The 22922-nt window shown below is 42.4% G+C and overlaps 1 protein-coding gene across 7 annotated transcripts in view, besides 8 other annotated features; it reads right to left on the reverse strand.

Moving 5' to 3' along the window:
- The window catches only part of ACBD6 (acyl-CoA binding domain containing 6), a 232925-nt gene extending 230536 nt beyond the window's left edge, over positions 1–2389 (reverse strand). For all 7 annotated transcript variants that reach the window (XM_047432083.1, XM_047432080.1, XM_047432082.1 and 4 more), the window contains exon 1: positions 1857–2389. In XM_047432083.1, coding sequence (XP_047288039.1) covers positions 1857–2078 — 222 coding nt within the window. In that variant the 5' untranslated portion in view covers positions 2079–2389. The remainder of the gene's footprint in view (positions 1–1856) is intronic.
- Positions 796–1311: an enhancer, noted in NCBI's record as "H3K4me1 hESC enhancer chr1:180470119-180470634 (GRCh37/hg19 assembly coordinates)". NCBI's record gives its function as "activates a minimal SCP1, AML or CMV promoter by ChIP-STARR-seq in primed H9 embryonic stem cells {active_cell/tissue: H9 hESC(primed)}" and the evidence as "EXISTENCE:reporter gene assay evidence [ECO:0000049][PMID:30033119]".
- Positions 1312–1827: an enhancer, noted in NCBI's record as "H3K4me1 hESC enhancer chr1:180470635-180471150 (GRCh37/hg19 assembly coordinates)". NCBI's record gives its function as "activates a minimal SCP1, AML or CMV promoter by ChIP-STARR-seq in primed H9 embryonic stem cells {active_cell/tissue: H9 hESC(primed)}" and the evidence as "EXISTENCE:reporter gene assay evidence [ECO:0000049][PMID:30033119]".
- Positions 1935–2435: an enhancer, noted in NCBI's record as "H3K27ac hESC enhancer chr1:180471258-180471758 (GRCh37/hg19 assembly coordinates)". NCBI's record gives its function as "activates a minimal SCP1, AML or CMV promoter by ChIP-STARR-seq in primed H9 embryonic stem cells {active_cell/tissue: H9 hESC(primed)}" and the evidence as "EXISTENCE:reporter gene assay evidence [ECO:0000049][PMID:30033119]".
- Positions 1935–2456: a biological region, named in NCBI's record as "H3K27ac hESC enhancer GRCh37_chr1:180471258-180471758".
- Positions 1957–2146: an enhancer, noted in NCBI's record as "active region_2163". NCBI's record gives its function as "activates an Ori minimal core promoter by ATAC-STARR-seq in GM12878 lymphoblastoid cells {active_cell/tissue: GM12878}" and the evidence as "EXISTENCE:reporter gene assay evidence [ECO:0000049][PMID:35858748]".
- Positions 2357–2456: a silencer, noted in NCBI's record as "silent region_1594". NCBI's record gives its function as "represses an Ori minimal core promoter by ATAC-STARR-seq in GM12878 lymphoblastoid cells {active_cell/tissue: GM12878}" and the evidence as "EXISTENCE:reporter gene assay evidence [ECO:0000049][PMID:35858748]".
- Positions 15933–16142: an enhancer, noted in NCBI's record as "active region_2164". NCBI's record gives its function as "activates an Ori minimal core promoter by ATAC-STARR-seq in GM12878 lymphoblastoid cells {active_cell/tissue: GM12878}" and the evidence as "EXISTENCE:reporter gene assay evidence [ECO:0000049][PMID:35858748]".
- Positions 21141–22340: an enhancer, noted in NCBI's record as "MED14-independent group 3 enhancer chr1:180490465-180491664 (GRCh37/hg19 assembly coordinates)". NCBI's record gives its function as "activates an origin of replication core promoter dependent on BRD2, BRD4, P300/CBP and CDK7 cofactors, and independent of MED14, by STARR-seq in HCT116 cells {active_cell/tissue: HCT116}" and the evidence as "EXISTENCE:reporter gene assay evidence [ECO:0000049][PMID:35650434]".

Genomic DNA, 22922 nt, shown 5'->3' on the forward strand with positions numbered 1-22922 from the left:
ACAAATACAGGGGAAAATACGTAACTATGTCAAGAGGCAAAAAGAAAAAAAGTTTACACATTTTTAATAAAACAAAATAGGCTATTATCCAGAATTTCCTTTCCTCTAGTGTTTCAAAGAGCTGTAATTTTCCTGAACTGTTATTTAACTCTTGTCAGCAATTTTTCAGGTATGTTCAAACCTAGACTCCTCAAGTACTTTAAGTCTCTTAAAGCAAATGTTGGCGGGGCGTGGTGGCTCACACCTGTAATCCCAGCACTTTGGGAGGCCAAGGCAGGCAGATCACCTAAGGTCAGGAGTTCAAGACCAGCCTGGCGAACATGATGAAACCCCGTCTCTTCTAAAAATACAAGAAATTAGTTGGGCATGGCGGCAGGCACCTGTAATCCCAGCTACTCGGGAGGCTGGGACAGGACAATCGCTTGAACCGGGGAGGTAGAGGTTGCAGTGAGCTAAGATCCAGCCACTGCACTCCAGCCTGGGCAACAGGAGCAAAACTCCATCTCAAAAAAAAAAAAAAAAAAGTGTCAGCCAGGTGCAGTGGCTCATGCCTGTAATCCCAGCACTTTGGGCAGGTGGATCGTCTGAGCTCAGGAGTTCAAGACCAGCCTGGGAAATGTGGTGAAACCCAGACCCTCTGTAAAAAAAAAAAAAAAAAAAAAAAGTGAGTGTCATGATGTTTTTGCTTCTCTGCAAAGTGTCATGATGTTTTTGCTTCTCTGCATTCTCTGTAGGCATTATACCCAAGTGTCTTGCACATAAAAGCTGCTGAACAAATATATGTTGCTTATGATAAAGCAATTATTTTCCTTCTGGTACCAACCAATGTCACCCTGAATTATAAATTAAACGTGTCTATACACCTCCCTATTTCCAGGTAAAGTTCACAGCCTTAGACTGAGTCAGGAGCTACAATCCAGTTCTGACTGATGTATTTGTATGACCCTAGGAAAGGTGCCTACTCTCTATGGCCTTCAGTTTCCTTTACTGTAAAAGAAGGGCATTATTTCCTCTGGTGTTCATAGCTCTAAAATTTTTAGATTGTATCAAACAGAAAGGAAGACATACTCAACGAAAACATAAATCAAAGATATTTAGGATTTTATAAAAATCACAATAAAAGTTGTAATACTGCATTTTGCATTGCATCACATTATTATTATTATTATTATTTGAGGTGGAGTTTCTTCGCTCTTGTTGCCCAGGCTGGAGTGCAATGGCGCACAATCTTCGCTCACCGCAACCTCCGCCTCCTCAGCCTCCCGAGTAGCTGGGATTACAGGCATGCGCCACCACGCTCGGCTAACTTAGTAGAGACGGGGTTTCTCCATGTTGGTCAGGCTGGTCTCCAACTCCCGACCTCAGGTGATCCTCCCGCCTCGGCCTCCCAAAGTGCTGGGATTACAGCCGTGAGCAACCACGCCCAGCCCTGCATCACATTATTACAATCCTATTATCTTTTTGGATCTCTATATAGTTTTATTAACTTTACCGTATTTACTTCCATGTGGCCCTCTGGGAAAGAGTAAATGAATGATATATCTTATTTTATCCTCATTTTGTAAAGGTTCTTGGGCTGGTAAAATGCAAGATCACTGAATAAGTCAGAGAAAAAAACACAAAAACAATGTCCAGTGTCCAGCTAAATAAACATCACTCCTAAGAAAGCAAACATCTTTTCCACGTTCAGGATGATGCTCATCCCCAGCAGATGGTCAAAAAAAAAAAAACAAAACAAAATACACATACACAAGCTTCATTACACCTAGCTATTAACCATACATGCTTGCTATCAGTTGTTGAGGAAGAAGGCTCCGTGTCTTTCTCCCCCATCCACCCTCTCCCTGCTACTTTACCTGTTTGTACCTGGCATACAGGTACAAGAGCTGCTCCCTGCTGGCCACCTGAATCAGGCCTTGCAGGTGCGCGGCAGCCTTCTCAAACAGCTCGGCCAGGCAACTGGTCTCCTCGATCTCAGGGCTATGGGGGAACTCCACCTCCCCGGAGTCGTCCCCTGAGCTCAGCTCTCCACCGCTGTCGCCGGTGATGGCCCCCGCGGGCAGGAATGATGAAGCCATGTCTCCTTGCTCGCTCCGTCCCTCTGTGTCCGGTCTGTCCTCCTTGGATTGGGTGTAAGGCCGGCTTGGAGGCCTGGCCCACCAGTCTGGGTCGCGAGCCTGAGCTCCAGTCGGACCCAAGCTCAGTCGCGGCGCGCTCCCTCACGTGACCCTGCTCCCTGCCCACTTCTACTCCCTGGGCGTGCAGAGCAGGCTCCTCGACCCTCTGCCGCTCTGCCCAGTCGACCCGGTCTCCTCCGGCTTCCCTCCGGCCAACAGCGCGCTCAGGCTCGCCTCAGGCCCCTCCAACGGAACAGGAGTCGAGGGGCAGTGAGGCCGGGATGCGTGCGAGCGCGGGGCGCGGCTGGCGCTGGGCCGTGGGGGCGGGGCGGCGTGCGTGCCAGCGGCGTGCGATTCTGTGAGGCCTGCTCTGCGCCGGCGGGGAAGCGCGGGCGACGCTACGCTGGACGTCCTTCCCTGCCGGAGGAGAGAAAGTGCCGTCAGCTGTAGGGGCGTCTTTTAATCGTTTCGCTGAAATTAGCAGTCCCGAGCTCCGGAGCCCGCCACCGGGATGGGCCCCCGGGGGTGGGGGAAGGAGGCCGTTTGTGTGGTAGTGTAGCGGTGAGAGCGGAGTCGCGGGAAACGCGAGGCTGAGGACTAAGGTTCCGCCTGCCCCAGATTGTGCGCCCCAAGCGCCTCCAAACAGCCCTGCGCGCGGATCTGTTGCGTGCGCGTTGGGCTCTGTGTTGAATAATGAAAAACTGCGAGATGGGGCTGTCCCGTCTTACTGTGTGACTGATGAGTGGAATCACTGCTCTGCGTGTTTCGCTCTCCACACCTTCGGAGCCCGCACCTCTCCGGGCCCTGAATAATAGGGTTTGGGGAGTTCGGGGCGCGCCTTAGCCCAGTTCTCATCCCGAGCTCTGTCTTTGACACTGTGCTTTGTAGACACTGTACAGTGAAACCAGAAGTACGGCACAGTTCGGCCCTAGAGGAATGCACAAAACTATTTTTTTAACTGTAACATTATGAGTGGTTATGTCCTAAATGTTAAACACAACGACGCACTATATATTCATTTAGTATTCAAAACAATGTAATAAGCACTATAAGAAGGGTACAAAGAAAGTGTTGTAAACAGTGGTTATTGACTGGGGTTAGGCTTGCGACGGGTGGACGGACGGCTGGACAGGATGAGGAAGCAATGAGAGAACACAGGAAGGTGAGAAAGCTTGCATCAGGATTCAACAGACATTCCTTAAGTCTCCAGAAAGTTCCACTGTTAGTCCCTGCTGTCAAGGTGCTCGCAATCCAGTCAAAGGGATGTTTAATGACCAAATTCTTGCAATTAAAAAGTGATTAAGAATAATGTATTGAGGACTTGATCATTACAACATAAGGTAGGTACTCTTATTTTACTACACATAGGAAATCAGCACAGAGTGGTTAAGTAACTTGTCAAAGGCTACACAGCTAGCAAATGGAGGAGCAAGGAAAAAGAAGTTAGCTTTCATGTGGGGTAATAATGGATGATGAACCCGACAAGTAGACTGAAGGAGATATAACATGGACTTTTATATCTTTGTTTCTAGAATTTTTATTAAAGTGAGAATTGAATATTATCAACGGCTTTTTTGGCATCTTTGGAGATTATCTGCTTTTCTCCTCTAGTCTTCGAAAGGAATTATATTAACAGTTTCTATTTTAATGAATTATATTAACAAAAATAAATTTGGGATTTAATGAATTATATAATAGCTAACATTGATAAATTAGTATGCATTATTTCAAAACCTCCTAGTTTTGAGCATTACTTCTGTTCTTGGAATAAACCCATTCTGGTCCTGGTTTGGTTTTTTTAAAAAATTTGTAGGTTCAGTTTGCTAATATTTTCATTATCTTTACAGTTCCATTTAAAGATGTCATTAACCTATAGTTTTCCTTTTCTATACTTTCTCAATTTTGTATCAAGGTAATAGAATCCTTGTAGAATGCATTTAGAAGTTTTCATCTTTTTCTGTATTCTGGAAGAGTTTACATAACATGGGAAAGAGAGCAACCAGAATTCTTTTACACTGCTGGTGTGAGCATAAATTGGTACAATCACTGTGGAAAAATGTTTGGCACTATCTACTAAAGCTGAACATAAATATACAACAATTCGACTCCTCCCCAGCGGGAATATATACATGGCATTCACCAAAAACATGTACGAGAACATTCATAGCAGCACTATGAACTAATTCCTAATTGCTCCAAACTGGAAGCTCCTGAATGTCCATCAACACTAGAATGGAGATAAACTGGTGTGCTTACATGATGGAATACTATTCATCAGTGAGAATGAACTAATTACAATGACACAGAATAACATGAATGAATCTCAAACATAATGTTGAGTATAAGCCTATACTCAAAAAAGTGCATATTACATGTTTCTAGTCATAAAAAATTCAAAATCAGGCAAAACTAATCTGTGGTGTTAGACTCAGGATAGTGGGTAACCTCAGGGTTAGTGATCTGAAGGGTGCATGAAGGGGACTTCTGGAAGTTGGATATGTTGTTTCTTAAGCCGAACATTAGTACACTGATGTGTTCACTTTATGAAAATTCATTTATAATTTATGTACTTTTCTGTATGTATATTTGAATGAAAAATGTATTATAAAACTAAAATGTAAGAAAGAAAAAGGAAAGAGTCCTTAACATTGAGAAGCTGGCCTGACACTCACAGCTAGGCCTTGTTATTCTCCTATTGAAGAGAAATAATCTCACAAAATAGCAACTGCAGACAAGGTCACTCTGAAATCATGATACAATGATACAAAGCAAACCACTTCATTAAGCTTTTCTAAGCACAGACAAAAAGCTCACTTTACTGACTACAAAATACAACACCTTTTTCTTGGCCCAAACAAATAACTACTACTACTTTAAAATTGCAGCTTTATTCTCATGCTAGCCACTTCTCTATAGATAAGACTGAGATGCCCAAGATCTCAATCTTGTTACAGTAGGTAGCTAGTCAGGAATGAGCAGGGCAGGAGAGGGCTCCGCACCACACGCACATATCAGGAATGTCGGGCAACCATCAGGTGATGGTCAAGCGGTTGTTAACTGTCTCACTAAAATAATAATTGATCACAGCTGGCACCAGGGAACAGCAGGCTCCTGATAGAAAACACCTGAAACTAGTGATCAGCAGCTTCCCGATAAGATCTCAGGAGTGGGGCGAGTGGGCTCAAGCATGTGCATGCGGACAGCCCACCCCAAGGGAAGAATCGGGGAGAAGTAATGCAAGACCGCAGAAGTAAGCCAATATATAAAACCCCAAGGCCAGGCACACAGTGGCTCATGCCTGTAATCCCAGCACTTTGCAGGGCCAAGACGGGCGGATCATCTGAGGTCAGGAGTTTGAGACCAGCCTGGCCAACATGGTGAAACCCTGTCTCTACTAAAAATACAAAACAAAACAAAACAAAACAAAAAAAACAAAAAAAACAGAATTAACTACTCAGGAGGCTGAGGCACAAGAATTGCTTGAACCTGGGAGGTGGAGGGTGCAAGCCAAGATCGCGCTACTACACTCCAGCCTAGGCAACAGAGCAAGAATCTGTCTCAAGACAAACAAAAACAAACCCTGAGTCAAAATATCAAGCTGTGTACTTGCCTTTCAAGTTGCCTGTTTGGCTTTCTTCCAAGCATACTTTCCTTCTTTTTATTCCTGCTCTAAAGCTTTTTAATAAACTTTTACTGCTGCTCTAAAACTTGCCTGGGTCTCTCCTTCTGCCTATGTCCATCAGTTGAATACTTTATTCGGAGGAGGCCAGAATTGAGGGTGCTGCAGACCCCAAGGGATTCACCACTGGTATTACTATTTTGAAGTCGTGTGACTCAGATACGTTTCCCTGCTGACACAATCATAGACTTCCCCCAGCTTTCTGACTGCATCCAATTGAGAGCATATTCCCGCTTCCTTAGATGCTCTCCCAAATCACCACAAAGCCCAAATCGTATAATAGGTTCTTTCTTAACACCCTTTTACCGAGGCAGCCCATTCTTCCTCAAGGTGTGTGTTCTTCCTCACTGCAACCAGAAATAATTCCAACTTGGTTAACTACAGATGTGTTCCTGGAGGTCTCTGCCTGAAGGACATTGACACTTGAGAAGCTTTTATTTCTTGAAGAGTCTATCGAAATCCCAAAACTCTCAGGATCTGGTGACACTGAGGAGACAGATATTTTACCATTAGTGTTTCCCTTCACCCATTTTTTGGGAAAGATAGTACAGTTGACCCTGGAACAACACAAGTTTGAACTCTGTGCATACATTTATACACGGGTTTTTTTCTACATATATTGGAAAAAGTTTTGGATATTTGCAACAATTTAAAAAACACAGATAAACTGTATAGCCTAGAAATATTGAAAAATTAAGAAAAGTATGTCATAATGCATAAAATATGTAGATACTCATCTTTTATCATTTAATACCCTAAAATATACACAAATATAACTTTTTTTTTGAGACAGAGCCTCACTCTTGTTGCCCAGGCTGGAGTGCAATGAAGCGATCTTGGCTCACTGCAACCTCTGCCTCCCAGGTTCAAGTGATTCTCCTGCCTCAGCCTCCCGAGTAGCTGGGATTACAGGTGCCCGCCACCATGCACAGCTAATTTTTGTATTTTTAGTAGAGATGGGGTTTCACCATGTTGGTCAGGCTGGTCTTGAACTCCTGACCTCAGGTGATCCACCTGCCTCGTGCTGGATTATAGGTGTGAGCCACTGCTCCCGGCCCACAAATGTATTATAAAAAGTTAAAATTTATCAAAACATACACACATAAACACAGACCGTGGCACCATTAACAGTTGAGAGAAATTGAAACAAACATAACGATGCAGCATTAAATCATAACTGCATATAACTCATACATACTGTAGTGCTGTACTAATTTCATGGCACCTCTCATTGCTATTGCAGTGAGCCCAAGTGTTTTGAATGTATCCACTTAAAACACTTCGTGATGTTAATCATCTCCACAAGAGCAGTTGTCTCTCCAGTAAATTGTGTATCATAGTAAAAAGTGATCACTCATGGTTCCTGTATTTTTCATCGTGTTTAGTGCACTGCCGTCAACCTTGAATAACACCGTGGTACCTATACAAAGTGCCACTAGCGATGCTGTAAATGCTCCCAAGAAGCAGAGAATAGTCATTACAAGGAAAAGTTTAATTGCTTAATAAGTACTGTAGATTGAGGTCTGCAGCTGTGGTTGCTGCCATTTCAGGCAGGGATTCATCTTGTAAGCAAAAGAAATAAACTTACAGTATTGGTAAATAAGTACAATAATAATAATTACTATAAATGTATTTTCCTTATGGTTTTCTTAATGACATTTTCTTTTCTCTAGCTTACTTTATTTCAAGAAGACAGTACATAATACATATACAAAATATGTGTTACTCAACTGTTTGTGTTCTTGGCATGGCTTGCAGTCAACAGTAGTTGACTGCTTAGGGGTCGATCCCCTTATTGCTGAGTTGTTCAAAGCTTAACTGTTTATGTTTCTTTGAATCCCAAGAAAAATCAGCCAAGAAATCAGGAAGTCAAAAGAAAGTATTACAGTTCTGCAGGAATTGAAGTTTAGCAGTCAACATACACTGATTCAAACAAACCCGCTAACAAGTGAAAAGCAATGGCAGGAAACACTGACAAATGGAGTCTAAAGTGAGCAGAAAAAGGAGCAGGCAGGAAAGAAGTAGTGAAGATCTAATCAGTCTGGCTCATGATGGTGGCCATGTTGCATATGGTGTTCACAGCCCCATCTTCTGGTAACAATGAGTCATTCTTGCAAGTAAAATAAATATTGATGACATGATATGCATAATAAATAAAATTCTATGAGTCATGTTCTAAGAAATTAGAAGCAAAATAAGTCCTCAAACTGGCAATTTGTTTAAGTGATGCTGAGTAGTTCTATTAACCTTGCTAGAAGGTCTGAATGTTATGTTATTAGAATACTACCCAACAATGTTGTGGCATTTTCCAGTGTTTATATTCATTATAAACTACAGTTCTAAGTATTTCAAGAAGAAATGCAAAGAGAAAAATATGTGATTGTTGTAAAATGCTTCCCAACATAACATCTGAACTGATCTAAACATCTGAATTAACAAAAGTCATAATGAGAGGTGACGACCTACTGGCAGCCCTCACAGAGGGCTGGCTGTCAGCACCTCCTCGGCCTCGGCAGTGCTTGAGGAGCCCTTCAGCCTGCCGCTGCACTGTGGGAGCCCCTCTCTGGGCTGGCCAAGGCTAGAGCCGGCTCCCTCTGCTTGCAGGGAGGTGTGGAGGGAGAGGAGCAGGCTGGAACCGGGGCTGCGCGTGGCGGTCGCAGGCCAGCGTGAGTTCCAGGAGGGCATGGGATCTGTGGGCCCTGCACTTGGAGCGGCAGACCGGAAACACTGGCCCCGGGCAGTGAGCGGCTTAGCACCTGGGCCAGCAGCTGCAGAGGGTGGGCCGGGTCCCCCAGCAGTACCGGCCCACCGGCACTGCACTCGGATCCTCACAGGGCCGCAGCTGCTTCCCTGCAGGACAGGGCTCAGGACCTGCAGCCCACCATGCCCGAGCCTTCCCCCACCCCGCCATGGGCTCCTGCGCAGCCCTAGCCTCCCCAACGAGTGCCGCCCCCTGCTCCGCAGCACCCGGTCCCATCTACCGCCCAAGGGCTGAGGAGCCCGCAGGCACGCAGCGCTGGACTGGTTGAACAGCTCCGCCCGCTGCCCTGGCACGGGATCCACCAGGCGAAGCTGGCTGACCTCCTGAGTTGGTGGGGGGAGGTGGGACTTGGAGAACTTTTATGTCTAGCTGGAGGATTGTAAATGCACCAATCAGCACCCTGTGTCTAGCTCAAGGTTTGTGAATGCACCAATCAGCAGTCTGTATCTAGCTCAGGCTTTGTAAATGCATCAATCAGTGCTCTGTGTCTGGCTAATCTAGTGGGGGACTTGGAGAACTTTTGTGTCTAGCTCAGGGATTGTAAATGCACCAATCTGCACCCTGTCAAAACGGACCAATCAGCTCTCTGTAAAATGGACCAATCTCAGCAGGATGTGGGTGGGGCCAGATAAGAGAATAAAAGCAGGCTGCCAAGAGCCAGCTGCGGCAAGTCGCTCAGGTCTCCAGCTTAGTTGTTTTGCTCTCTGCAGTAACTCTTGCTGGTGCTAACTGTTTGGGTCCGCACTGTCTTTGTGAGCTGTGACACTCATGGCGAAGGTCTGCAGCTTCACTCTTGAGGCCAGCAAGACCACGAACCCACTGGGAGGAATGAACAACTCCAGACGCACCGCCTTGAGAGCTGTAACACTCACCGCCAAGGTCTGCAGCTTCACTCCTGAAGCCAGGGAGATCACGAACCCACCAGAAGGAAGAAACTCCAAACACGTCCGAACATCAGAAGGAACAAACTCCCGACACACCATCTTTAAGAACTGTAACACTCACCGTGAGGGTCCACGTTTTCATTCTTGAAGTCAGTGAGTTCAAGAACCCACCAATTGCAGACACAATAACTGTTTCAGTAGCATAACTGAAGTCAGGGCAACCAGACAAAATATTTTCCTCGTTACAAAAGTAACTGCACTGGGTTTAGTACAATTTAGGTTTTTGTGAAATATTGACATTTAAAAAATTTTTGTATCAATACCTTTTGAGGTATAAATTTTTTTTGTTATATGGATGAATAATGTAGTGGTGACTTCTGAGACTTTAGTGCACCTGTCACCCAAGTAGTGTACATTGTACTTAATATGTGGTTATTTATCTCTAACCCCATTCCCACCCTCCCCCTGCTGAGTCTCTAAACTCCATTATACCACTCTGTATGTCTTCATGTACTCAAAGCTTAGCTCCCGCTTACAAGCGAGAACATACAGGTTTTGGTTTCCCACTCCTGAGTTACTTCATTTAGAATAATGGCTTCCAGCTCCATACAAGTTGCTGCCAAAGACATTGTTTTATTCCTTTTCATGGCTGAGTGGTATTCCGTGGTGTCTATATACCACATTTTCTTTAGTCATTGGTTGATGGGCACTTAGGTTGGTTCCACATCTTTTGCATTTGTGCTACTATAAATGTGTGTGCAAGTGTTTTTTTTATATAAATGACTTCTTTTCCTTTGGGTACATACAGTCAGTAGTGGGCTTGCTGGATCAAATGGTCGACCTACTTTTAGTTCTTTAAGGAATCTCCATACCATTTTCTATAGAGGTTGTATTAATTTGCATTCCCACCAGCAGTGAATAAGCATTCCCTTTTCCCCACATCCATGCCAGCATCTATTGTGTTTTGACTTTTTAATAATGGCCGTTCTTACAGGAGTAAGGCAGTAACTCATTGTGGTTTTAATTTGCATTTCCCTGATGATTAGTAATGTTGAGCATTTTTCATATGTTTGTTGGCCATTTGTATATCTTCTTTTGGAAATGTCCGTGCATGTCCTTTGCCCACTTTTGGATGGGATTTTTTTTTTTCTTGCTGATTTGTTTGGGTTCCATGTAGATTCTTGACACTAGTCCTATGTGGGATGCATAGTTTACAAATATTTTCTCCCACTCTGGGTTGTCTGTTTACTCTGATTATTATTTCTTTTGCTATGAAGAAGCTTTTTAGTTTAATTAGGTCCCATTTATTTATTTTTGTTTTTGTTGCATTTGCTTTTGGGGTCTTAGTCATGAATACTTTGCCAAGGCTGATGACTAGAAGAGTTTTTACAATGTTGTCTTCTAGAATTTTTATGGTTTCAGGTCTTATATTTAAGTATTTGATTCATCTTGAGTTGATATTTGTATAAGATGAGATAGGGATCCAATTTCATTCTTCTACATGTGGCTTGCCAGTTTCCCCAGCATCGTTTATTAAATAGGATGTCCATTTCCCGATTGATGTTTTTGTATGCTTTGTCAAAGATCAGTTGGCTGCATGTATTTGGGTTTATTTCTGGGTTCTCTGTTCTGTTTTATTGGTCTGTGTGCCTACTTTTATACCAGTACCATGCTGTTTTGGTAACTGCAGTTTTATAGCATAATTTGAAGCTCGATAATGTGATGCCTCCAGATTTGTTTTTTTTGATTAGGATTGCTTTGGCTATTGGGGCTCTTTTTTTCGTTCCATATGAATTTTAGAATTGTTTTTTCTAATTCTGTGAAAAATGATGTTAATGTTTGGCAACTTTTTTTACATTAGCACCAAAATACTGATTGATCCATTAAAAATACATTAATTCCTGATATGATTCAGACACAGTGCTAACTCCTAAGAATACTACAATGAACAAAATTTTCTTTCCCTCACTCTACTCCAGCCACATGAACCTCCCTGTAGCTCTTCTACAAGTCAAGCATGATCCAACATATTACCATTTTAGTATCCTTGGACTTGTTATTCCCTCGTTCTGGAACACTTTGCCCCAAAATATCCACAATTTGCCCTCATCTCTTTCAGGTCTTTGCTCAAATGTCACATTAATAAAAGCTTCCTTGACAACCATATTAAAAACTTGCGACCCGACTCCCAGCAACACTCTCTATTCTACTTCTTTAGCACTTGTTGCATCTAATACGTGGTATCTTTTACTCATTTATTACATCTAATCTATATAAGTTTCATGAGGGAAGGGATTTTTGTCAGTTTTTATTGCTGCTATACTCTCCAGAGTTGACACATAGCTAAATATTTTCTTTTTTTTTTTTGAGATGGGGTCTCAGTGTGTCACCCAGGCTGGAATGCAGTGACACGATCTTGTCTTGCTGCTGATACGGTTCCAATGAGTGGAGGAACACCAGGGTTCTTCGTCTCGAGTCAAATTAGATAAAACGGCATGGACACACGTAGTGGTTTTCAGGAGCAGAGAGTTTAATAGGCAAGTAAGGAGGAAGAAGCTCCCCCATGCACAGACGAGGGGGAGGGGGCAGAGGGGCTCCAAAGTGGAGAGATGAAACCCCACAAGCCATGGAAAAGTGGCTGCTTACACGAGTAGACTGGAGGAAGTGGTGTCTGATTTGCGTAGGGCTCAGGGGATTGGTTTGATCAGCCACGTCTTTCATGGTAGCCTGAGGAAAAAACTGGCCATCCCACCCTAGCCTTTTAAGATGCAAATTCAGGGTGCCATGATGTTCCACACAGGTAGGGATATATGGGGGCAGCCATGTTACCAGGCACATGTTTGGGCAAGGGCAAGAAGAAGGGGGCAGGAATTGCCATGTTTGGGTGGACCCGGTTTCTAATGGCCTGTATTTGCGTATCAAAGGTTGCTGGCCTAGCTCTAAGAGCCAGGGCTTTCCTGCTAGACAAGAAATGTTTCTGGAGCTGCTTTAAAAGAAATAACTTTACAACAACCCCTTTTCCTCTCTATCTGCCTAACATAATTTCTTAATAACTCTTGTAACACTGCAATCTCCCCCTCCTGGACTCAAGCAATCCTCCCACCTCAGCCTCCTGTGTAGCTGGGACTACACGCGTGCACCACCACCACGCCTGTGTAACTTTTGAATTTTGGTAGAGATGGGGTTTCGCCATGTTGCCCAGGCTGGTCTCCAACTCCTGACCTCAAGTGATCTGCCTGCCTTGGCCTCCCAAAGTGCTGGAATTACAGGTGTGACCCACTTCGCCCAGCCAGCTAAATCTTTATTGAATAAATAAATGAGTGAATGTGTAAAAGACACAGTCGTTGGCCTTTTTTTTTTTTTTTGAGATGGAGTCTCGCTCTGTCGCCCAGGCTGCTCCACCTCCCGGTTCATGCCATTCTCCTGCCTCAGCCTCCCGAGTAGCTGGGACTACAGGCACCCGCCACAATGCCCAGCTAATTTTTTTTTGTATTTTCAGTAGAGACGGGGTTTCACCGTGTTAGCCAGGATGGTCTCGATCTCCTGACCTTGTGATCCGCCCGCCTCGGCCTTCCAAAGTGCTGGGATTACAGGCGTGAGCCACCGTGACCAGCTGCAGTCATCATTCTTTAAGGGTTTATAGATAGTAAATTAATAAGGTCGGTAAAATACTGCAAGTGATGCAGAAAAGGGCATGTCAGGCAGGAGTTGCATGGGCAAAAGCATAGTAGTAGTGCAAAAACAGCAACCAGTGTTGCTTGTTTTCACTTGAAAATAAGTAAGATTCAATAAGCAAACAGCAGAAAAGCAGTTAGCTGTTTTCCTCTCTTATCTAGTATACATTTATAATTGGGATGTGTGTTATGTAAACAAATGTGAACCTGAAAGACCCAATCCTTCAAGATAAATCCGGAGCAGCTAACTGGGTCTAAATTTAAAATCGAGCCAAGCAGTCATTTGCTGACCGTAAGTCATACATGTACCTTGAGTTCCCCAGAAGTCCACACCTCTGTTCAACTCTGGCAGTTTCAGAGCTCAACTGAACCAACCAATCAGAGCTCACCCAAACAGACAAATTAGGTCTCACTACCTCTGCCAATCAGGGCTCAGCTGTCAATCAATCGGAACTAAGCAAATTTGAATCATTCATTTGCGTAAACTGATCTGATTGGGAACCAGGGCAGGAACTTTATAAAAGCCAAACCCTCACTTTATTCTCTGAAAGGCACCTTGGTTTCACGCTGGAAGCTGTATATTCCTGATTTGCAAACTGTTCACTGAAATAAAGTCTCATATTTTTACTGCACTAAGTCAAATTGGCAGTATTTACCTAAAACATAATCTCCTAGGAAATCCATGACCTCTAATCCAACTCTTTAAGCCCATTAGGAGGACTCTAGCATATAGGCAGATAAGCAGGTAGAGATATTAGACAGCATTATCTAATTTGCATAATCTGGAAGTTCATTTGACAACCTTCAAATAAAATAATTACAGAATTTTATTAAATGCAAAAAAAGGAATCACAACAAGAAAACCAGAGTCTTGACCTTGGAGTCTTTGTGAAATCTGTATAATGAGCAAAATTTAATGAAAAACATCACATCTTCAAGTTCTCAAAAATAGGTATTTCCTACTAAAAATTAAGAAGAAATGGGCCAGGCATGGTGGCTCATGCCTGTAATCCTGGCACTGTGGGAGGCCAAGATGGGTGGATCGCTTGAGTCCAGGAGTTCAAGACCAGCCTGAGAAACATATCGCTACCCTGTCTCTACAAAAAATACAAAAATTAGCTGGGCGTGGTGGGATGCACCCGTGGTCCCAGCTACTCTGGAGGCTGAGGTGGGAAGATCTCTTGAGCCCAGGAGGTGGAGGCTGCGGTGAGCTGTGATAATGCCACTGCACTCCAGCCTGGGTGACAGGTTTCAGAGAGAAGGAGGAAGAAGAGGAGGAGGAGGGGGGGAGGAAGAGGAGGAGGAGGGGGGGACGAGGAGGAGGAGGGGAGGAGGAGGGGGAAATGGAAATGTCATTAACTTTGAAACCCCCTCGGCAGAGGCTGTTTGATGATGATGGACAACTTAACCCAGCATGAATAAGAAAGACTTCTGGGAAATGTGTTTGTGGGTTTACAAACTGACTTTAGAGATGTTATTTATCATTACATGATACAAATATAGGGGTAAATCAAATGCCACAAAGCAAAATAGGATTAGATTATAAAAGCCTAGCATTCTCTTAGACACCAGTCCTGAAGAGATTTCATTGTGCTTGATAAGTATGGAACCACTGAGGAAGGCAAAATTGGTGGACTCAATTAAGGGCATAGTGGCTAGCTGACTTCTGCCCACATTTGCAACATTTTTGTTGTTGTAAATGCAGTAGCTATTATATTAAATGTGTTCAGTGTGTATTTATTAGTAAATATATTTTTAAATTTTCATATTTTGACTTTCTAAAAATTAATCAACAATAACTTGTTAAATGCTGATACTGATCTTTCAGGTAATGTAATACAGTAAAAAGTACACAGACTGGGGAGTCTGATATCATCCTTGCCATTAAGTAACCTAAATTTTAGTTGGAAAAACAAAATTAGTGCTCATGAAACAATTAGAAAATCCAGCAAGACAGTAAAATTAAGTACTAAATTTTGTGGTACAAACTGAAGTTAAATAATAATAGGATTTTTTAAGCTGGATATCCTCTCCATAAAAAGGTCTCAGTTGAGCCCCATTACTTTCCAGAAGAGGCCCCTAAATATTAGGTGACTTGCCTTAGGCCTTACATTTAGGTGACTGACCAAGTGGATCTAACTCCCAGGTCTTCTAAGGAGTGTGGGCCTTTCATATCTACTAAAACGCATTCTGCTCAATTGGCAGAAGGTGCTATTGAACTATTTGCAGATGCATTTGCAGTAAAGTTTTTTTTTTTTTTTTTTAGAGACAGGGTCTCATTCTGTCATCCAGACTGGAGTGTAGTGATAAGATCATAGCTCAGTGTAACTTTAAACTCCTGGCCTCAAGCGATGCTCCCGCCTCAGCCACCCAAAGCACTGGGATTACAGGCATGAGCCACTGAACCTGGCCTGAAGTAAAGATCTTTAAGGAAAGTCTCCCTGAACTTGAAGCTAAGAAACTGAAATTTTTTTATCCATTTCTGCAATATTTTTCTGGTTTCAGTTACTGGTTTGAAGAACAAAGGGCCTCAGTAAGACAGAATATATAATTTTATATTGTGCCTTCATAAAATATAATTTCTTTGCATGAAAAATGAGTCCCGTGAGTTTGAATTCCACTCTGGGTGGTTCAGGATTCCGGATATCCACCGTCTTCTGGGCACTGCTGGAGTGCAAGTGGAATATACATATTGACCAGATGATGGCGGCATGGAGCTAGGTTTGGGTTCTGCCCGTGTAACGGGCTGGCTGGATTATCTTTGTTCTTTGGGTCCTTAGGCTTAGGAAAGAGAGGCCTTGCACGTTGTATGGCACAGTAAATGGAACAAATTGTTTATGTAATTATATCTTTATTTTAAACAGCAGCCAAACCCTAATTGTGTTTCTTCTTTAGACTTAGAACCCAGGAACTGAGAATAAAGACGAAAACAGGCTTTGTTAAGATGTGCTTGGTTTTAAAAAACATGCTCTGACAAGTCCACTTACTATTCTGAATGTTGTAACAATGAGAAATAAGGGTCATACAGTGTAGGCTGAGATCAACTTAGCTCTGAACCTACATCATTACTCCCTTTGGATTGTTGCTTTTGCTTTTGTTTGGATTTTCTTTCCTTATGTATATATTAACATTTTTACCATTCCCCAGTTCCTGTGCCTCACCCTCTTCTCCCAAATATTTTGGGGAACTTTAAATTTAAAATTGACATTCTAAAATATGCACAAGAAGATGAAATGTTTAGCATGTATATGTTAACATATGTTTACTAAAGTTTAAAAACTGCAAATGAAAATATACTAAAAACTAAAATTTTGTATATGCTAAATTTTCTTTAAGTTTGTATTCATCAAAATATCCCTTCTTTGTTGATACTAATGTCCACAGCTGAGTATCATCCTGGGAAAAAACCACAGCTTTGATTAATTTTGTGGCATTTATGTTTGAAAGAGTTAATCAGACATCAGTCTTCAAAAGCTGGGAATGGTTTTTATCATCAAGAAAATCTGGTCAGGCATACACAATCAGATATAAACAATTTTGTTTATTTTACCTTAAGAACAGGAAATAACATTCAAACGGTTCTGAAGACATTAAAAAAATGTCTTTAGATTAAAAATAAAATTACCCATTTATTTTTCTGGTTGAAGTCTGATTATAAGTTTTAAATTTCTATTGCTTCAAATGTCATATGACTATGAATACCTTTAGGCCATTATTTTGGCTGTAGAATTAAAGCTCTTTTCCCTCATCCTCCAGATGAGTCAAGAAAATAGTAACGTTTATTTGAGTGCATCAAATATGGCTTTGAAGTGACAGCACTTTAAACCTTACAGGCAGATATGCCATCACACACACACACACACAGAACACTGGTTCTTTTAATTGGCCTGAATATTGATGTTTCTGCTTCTGATGTTTTTTTCATGATAACTTGTTTTTTTAAATAAACCATTACGAAAATTCTCAAACATATAGAAAAGTTGACAGAATAGTAAATGATCACTCATATTGAATTCACTTCCTGAATTCAACAATTGTTAACATTTTGCCATATTTGCATTATCTATCTACCAATATTTTTGATAAATGACTTGAAAATAAGTTGCAGACATTATGATATTTCAATCCTGAATTCTGTAGTATGTATCTTCTAAAAATAAATTCTATTATAGAGCCATAATATGACATTATCATACCTAAGAAAATTGACAAATATCATCTAGAATGCAGTCCTTTGTATTCAAATTTCCCATATTTCTTTTTTTGGGGAGCGGGGATGGAATTTCGCTCTTGTTGCCCAGGCTGGAGTACAATGGCGTGATCTCAGCTCACTGCAACCTCCACCTCCCGGGTTCAAATGATTCTCCTGCTTCAGCCTCCTGAGTAGCTGGGATTACGCCAGCCACCATGCCCAGCTAATCTTTGTATTTTTAATAGAGACGGGGTTTCACCATGTTGGCCAGGCTGGTCTCGAACTCCTGACCTCATGATCCGCCCGCCTCGGCCTCCCAAAGAGCTGGGATTACAGGTGTGAGCCACCACGCCCAGCCCAAATTTCCCATTTTTCAAAGAAAGCTTTTAAATACACACACAGGCCAGACATGGTGGCTCATGCCTGTAATCCTAGCACCTTGGGAGGCCAAGGTGGGAGAACTGTTTGAGGTTAGGAGTTCGGGTCCAGCCTAGGCAACATGACGAAAACCAATCTCTACCAAAAAATATATAAATATATACAAAAATTAGCAGGGCATGGTGGCTCACACCTGTAGTCTCAGCTACTTGAGAGGCTGAGGTGGGAGGATCACTTGAACCCAGGAGGTTCAGGCTACAGTGAGCCATGATTGTACCACTACACTCCAGCCTGGGTGACAGAGCAAGACCCTGTCTCAAAAAAACTATATTTTTTCAAATAAAAATAAATGGCCAGATGCAGTGGCTCATGCCTGTAATCCCAGCACTTTGGGAGGTCGAGGCAAGTGGACTGCTTGACCCCAAGAGTTGAGAACAGCCTGGGAAACATGGCAAGACCCCTCTCTACAAAAAAATCCAAAAAATTAGCCAGGAATGGTGGCACGCACCTGTGGTTCCAGCTACTCAGGAGACTGAGGTGGGAGGGATTGCTTGAGTCCCAGGAGGTTGAGGCTGCAGCGAGCTGCGATTGTGCCACTGCACTCCAGCCTGGGTGACAGAGCAAGACCCTGTCTCAAAATAAATAAATAAATACACACAAACACAAATTACATATGACTTATATATATATATATATATACACACACACACACACACACATCACATCACATATACAGCGTCAGTAAAAGCTAGCATATGAAAGCCAGAGCTTTTTGAAAAGACTTGGTGAAAAAAATCACTTTGTATGGAAGGTGAATAATCAGCAAGAATTTATTGACAATTGCCCACATGTTAATTACCACTTCTGAGTCTATGAGTATATAAAAGCATCAAAGGCATTGAGTCTATGTTTATACTTAATATAACTAATATATTGAGCCTATATTTGTACTTAATATAATAAAAGCATAACATATCAGTGAAAGGCTCCCCAAATTTCTTTTTAATTGGCATGTTTTAAAAATGTTTCAAAGAGACATAATTTCATATAAAATATCCAGAAGATAGAAATAAAGTGTATTTGTGATATTTTATCCTAAATAAGTAGTTTGTTCTTTTCTTGCTTTCATTTTTATTATTTTTTTAAGCCTAGTCAAGTGAAGCAGTGGGAGTGGAGAAGGAACAAAGAAATCTGTAACTGATTGTGCGATCCATTAGTTGTAAATACCACTGCACTTGGACCAGGCTTTTTCTTGCTTTTAAACAGTGAAATAGCTTCCATGTGATAGTCATCTTACATAGAACATACTTTTATGAAAGGGCATGTTATCTATCATAAGTAAAGGTAATATTTGAATTATTTTGAGTACATTATGTTGTCATGCTCTTTTTTTTTTTTTTTTTTTTTTTTGACAGAGTCTTGCTCTGTTACCAGGCTGGAGTGCAGTGGCGTGATCTCGGCTCACTGCAACCTCTGCCTCCCGGGTTCAAGCAATTCTTCTGCCTCAGCCTCCTGAGTAGCTGGGACTACAAGCGTGCACCACCACACTCAGCTAATTTTTGTATTTTTAGTAGAGATGAGGTTTCACCATGTTGGCCAGGATGGTCTCGATCTCTTGACCTCATGATCTGCCCCCCTCGGCCTCGGAAAGTGCTGGGATTACAGGCATTAGCCACCGCGCCCAGCTGTCATGCCCTTTTTAATAGTAAGGTCTGTTTCCTGTTGCATTTCAATGCATGGTACAGGGTGAGTTGTTTATGAAGAGAGAAGACTGAGAAAGAAGAGTTGGAAAAGGAAGAGAATTCTTGAGGTGTGCACAGATGCATATAGCAGTAGTCCCCAACCTTTTTGGCACCAGGGATGGATTTTGTGGAAGACAAGAGGGCAGGTGGTTTCAGGATGAACTGTTCCACCTCAGATCATCAGGCGTTAGATTCTCATAAGGAGCGTGCAACCTAGATCCCTTGCACTTCACAATAGGGCTTGTGGTCCTATGACAATCTAATACCACTGCTGATCTGGGACAGAGCTCAGGAGCTCACAGGAGCAGGGCTCAGGGCTGGGGTCCCTGCCGTAGAGTGATTGAGAGACAGGACTGCCACACATGAAAGAGAGAGAACCGTTATGTAAGTCAGCACTAAATCGTGTGCTCAGAATTGTTGCTGCCTCAGGAATTCAGGAAACAGGAAAGATCTGTGAGGCCTGGAGTTGAGAGAGAGGCCAGTGCTTCCTGGAGATGGGAGCTAGCCCAGAGGGATGGTGAGATTTGAACAGAAAAAAGTGAGAGAGATGGGCATTTGGCAGGTGAGTGAAGGCATGTGAGAAAGCCATTAGGGCGCACTTGCAGGACAGTGGTTTAGGGTAAAATGAATTGATTGGGAAGCTGGGAGGGAAAAGGAAAAATGAGCAGTGAAATGATAAAGCCATAGTAGAATAAACCTCCAGTTTTCCGAGGATAAAGAAATAGTTTTAGTCTGGTCTTTCATTTGTACCCTGCCTTCCCCCTGGAAGTTGTTTATTTGTTGATTGAGACCGGGTCTTACCCTGTCACCCAGGCTGGAGTGCAGTGCCACTATCATAGCTCACTGGAGCCTCGAACCCCTGTGCTCAAGCAATCCTCCTGTCTCAGCCTCCCAAATAACTGGGACTACAAGCATGCACCACCACTCCTGGCCCCCTGGAAGTAATTTTAGGTAGCTATGAAAGTTATTGTCGAAGTGTTGGAGTGGAATTTTGGCTTAGTTAAAATAATTGAGAACGGGAAGGATGGATGACTTTGACATTAATTTAATTTGATGACTACAATCCATCTATTAAAATGGCATTCCGCTGACTTGTTTTTCTTTTTCCTTTATCCCTTTGCTCTTCATAATATTCTCAGGACTTTATTGCTCAGTATTGGCTATAATGAAATTGTATTATCATTCTACATATCAAAGTATTTCATAGTTATCCAATGCATCCATTACAACTGAATAGTTAAAATAAATGTGTTCTAGTACTTCCTACTAAAACCTGTACAGCCTCTCTGGAGCCCAACCTTGGCCTTCCTGACAGATCTGCCCTGGCAGGTGAATACCCAGGAGAACCTGCTCTAGGGAGCCCCTTTCATGCATCTGATAACTCTGTCTCATTAACACTGACGGTGTTGGTTAGTTGGTCCATAGGAGTTAACATGCAGAATTCACTGTCAATTTTAGTCAGGACAGGACAGGTTATGTGGCAGCAACAACAGCAACAACAAAAAACCCAAAACTTCAATTGCTTAGCCCCACAAATCTTTTATTTTATTTTATTTATTTTATTTTATTTTTTTTTTTTTTTGAGAAAGAGTTTTGCTGTGTCTCCCAGGCTGGAGTATAATGGTGCAATCTCAGCTTGCTGCAACCTCCGCCTCCCGGATTCAAGCGATTATCCTGCCTCAGCCTCCCGAGTAGCTGGGATTACAGGCACCTGCCACCACATCTGGCTAATTTTTTGTATTTTTAGTAGAGACAGGGTTTCACCATGTTGGCCAGGCTGGTCTTGAACTCCTGACCTCAGGTGATCTGCCCACCTTGCCCTCCCAATCCCAGCAAATTACAGGCATAATTTGCCTGTAATTTGGGATTACAGGTGTGAGCCACCGCACCCAGCAAATCTTTTATTTTTGCTTGCACTCTGTTGCTCTGCTCGTCAGCATCACTGGGGGAAGCATGCTGACAAGACCCATCTTGACATCTGCTCACACAATCTCGAAGGCAGCAGTAAAGGAGAATGTAGCATATTGTGGCTCTTAAAGCTTTCACTCAGGTAGGACTTAGGTCACTTCTGCACACATTTCATCAGTCAAAGTGAGTCACATGGTCAAACCTAACTTCAAAGGGGACAGTGACGTGCAGTCTTACTACATTCCTGGAAAGAGAGGAAAGCCAGAGTATTTGTGAATGTCATTAGGGACGTTCTTTTTCTTTTCTCTTCCTTCTTCCCTCCTTTTTGTATAAACATATATTATTTAATGGAAAACTCCCTGCCGGGATAGGATCACTTGCTGAATAATAAGAGGTGAGATACCTCATGCACATTATTACTTTGAAAGGTAATTCCATGCGGTGTTTTCAAGGACTACAGCACAATTTCTGCAAATGTAGCCCAATTCAGAGACCATCTATAGTTTATGGAAAATATTAACTTTAGTGACTATAATTACACGGAGCCACATGTCAGTAGTGCCCTGTTTTCCACAGAAACATGAGATATTTTGCAATTTATCAACAAGTGTGCTGACCAGATTCCAGTCGAAGGCTTTCTTCCAATCCATGGTGCTTGTCCAGGCATGATCACTTAACTTTAATGCATGGGAGAAGAAGCTATGTACTTCCTACTGTGCCCCTTGATCTTCAGCTACTGGTTGAGGACTGGGCAATGTGTTACACTGTCACCTTCTGGCAGGGTTACGTGAGGGTTTTCTATTTGCATTACGGGAATGACGGGAATGACGAGCATGCCTTAGCAATTTGGAGGAGTTAGTTATCTGATACCGTAAAGGACACTGGCTTTGACATAGAAAGAACTTTGCACAGGCTTGTCGTTCGCCTGGGGATATGTCTACTTATTTTCTGCTTTTAAAATGATTTCCTGTTTTGTTTCACAACTTTGCCACCCATCTATTTTTAATTAATCTACCTTGGAATTCCTTCTAGACATTGTTACATGTTGATAAGGAAGGTCATGACTGAAGACAAGTGAAACCATACTTTGAGCTGTTTCTCTAGGAGAACAGAAGTCATGTCTGTCTGGTTTGCCACTGAATCCCATTGCTTGGCATGGTTCCTGGCACATGGTGCTCAATAAATATTATTGAATAAATACATGAATGAATGACAGATAGAGAAGACATTATTGACTCACCTGCATGGTAGTTCTCTATCTTTCTCTTGACCAATGGCAAAAAATTGCAAGCTATTGGACTGGAATGAGAGATGCAGAGACCTTCACCACAGTAAACTAAGCTAATAAGTCCACAGCTTTGCTTTCCCATTATTTTAGTTGCTAGATTGTTTTCCTCTCCCACCACACTCTAGTCATGCCCAACTTTCCAGCCAAATGGAACTACTGGCCATTCTCAGAATAGGCATGTTTCTTGTTATGGGTTGGATTTTGTCCCCACCCCCCCACAAAAATATATGTTGAAGTCCTGATCCCTGTACCTGAGAATGTGACCTGATGTGGAAATAAGGTCACTGCAAATGTAATTA

Source organism: Homo sapiens, chromosome 1, assembly GCF_000001405.40.
Source record: "Homo sapiens chromosome 1, GRCh38.p14 Primary Assembly".
In the NCBI taxonomy this organism is placed as follows: domain Eukaryota; kingdom Metazoa; phylum Chordata; class Mammalia; order Primates; family Hominidae; genus Homo; species Homo sapiens.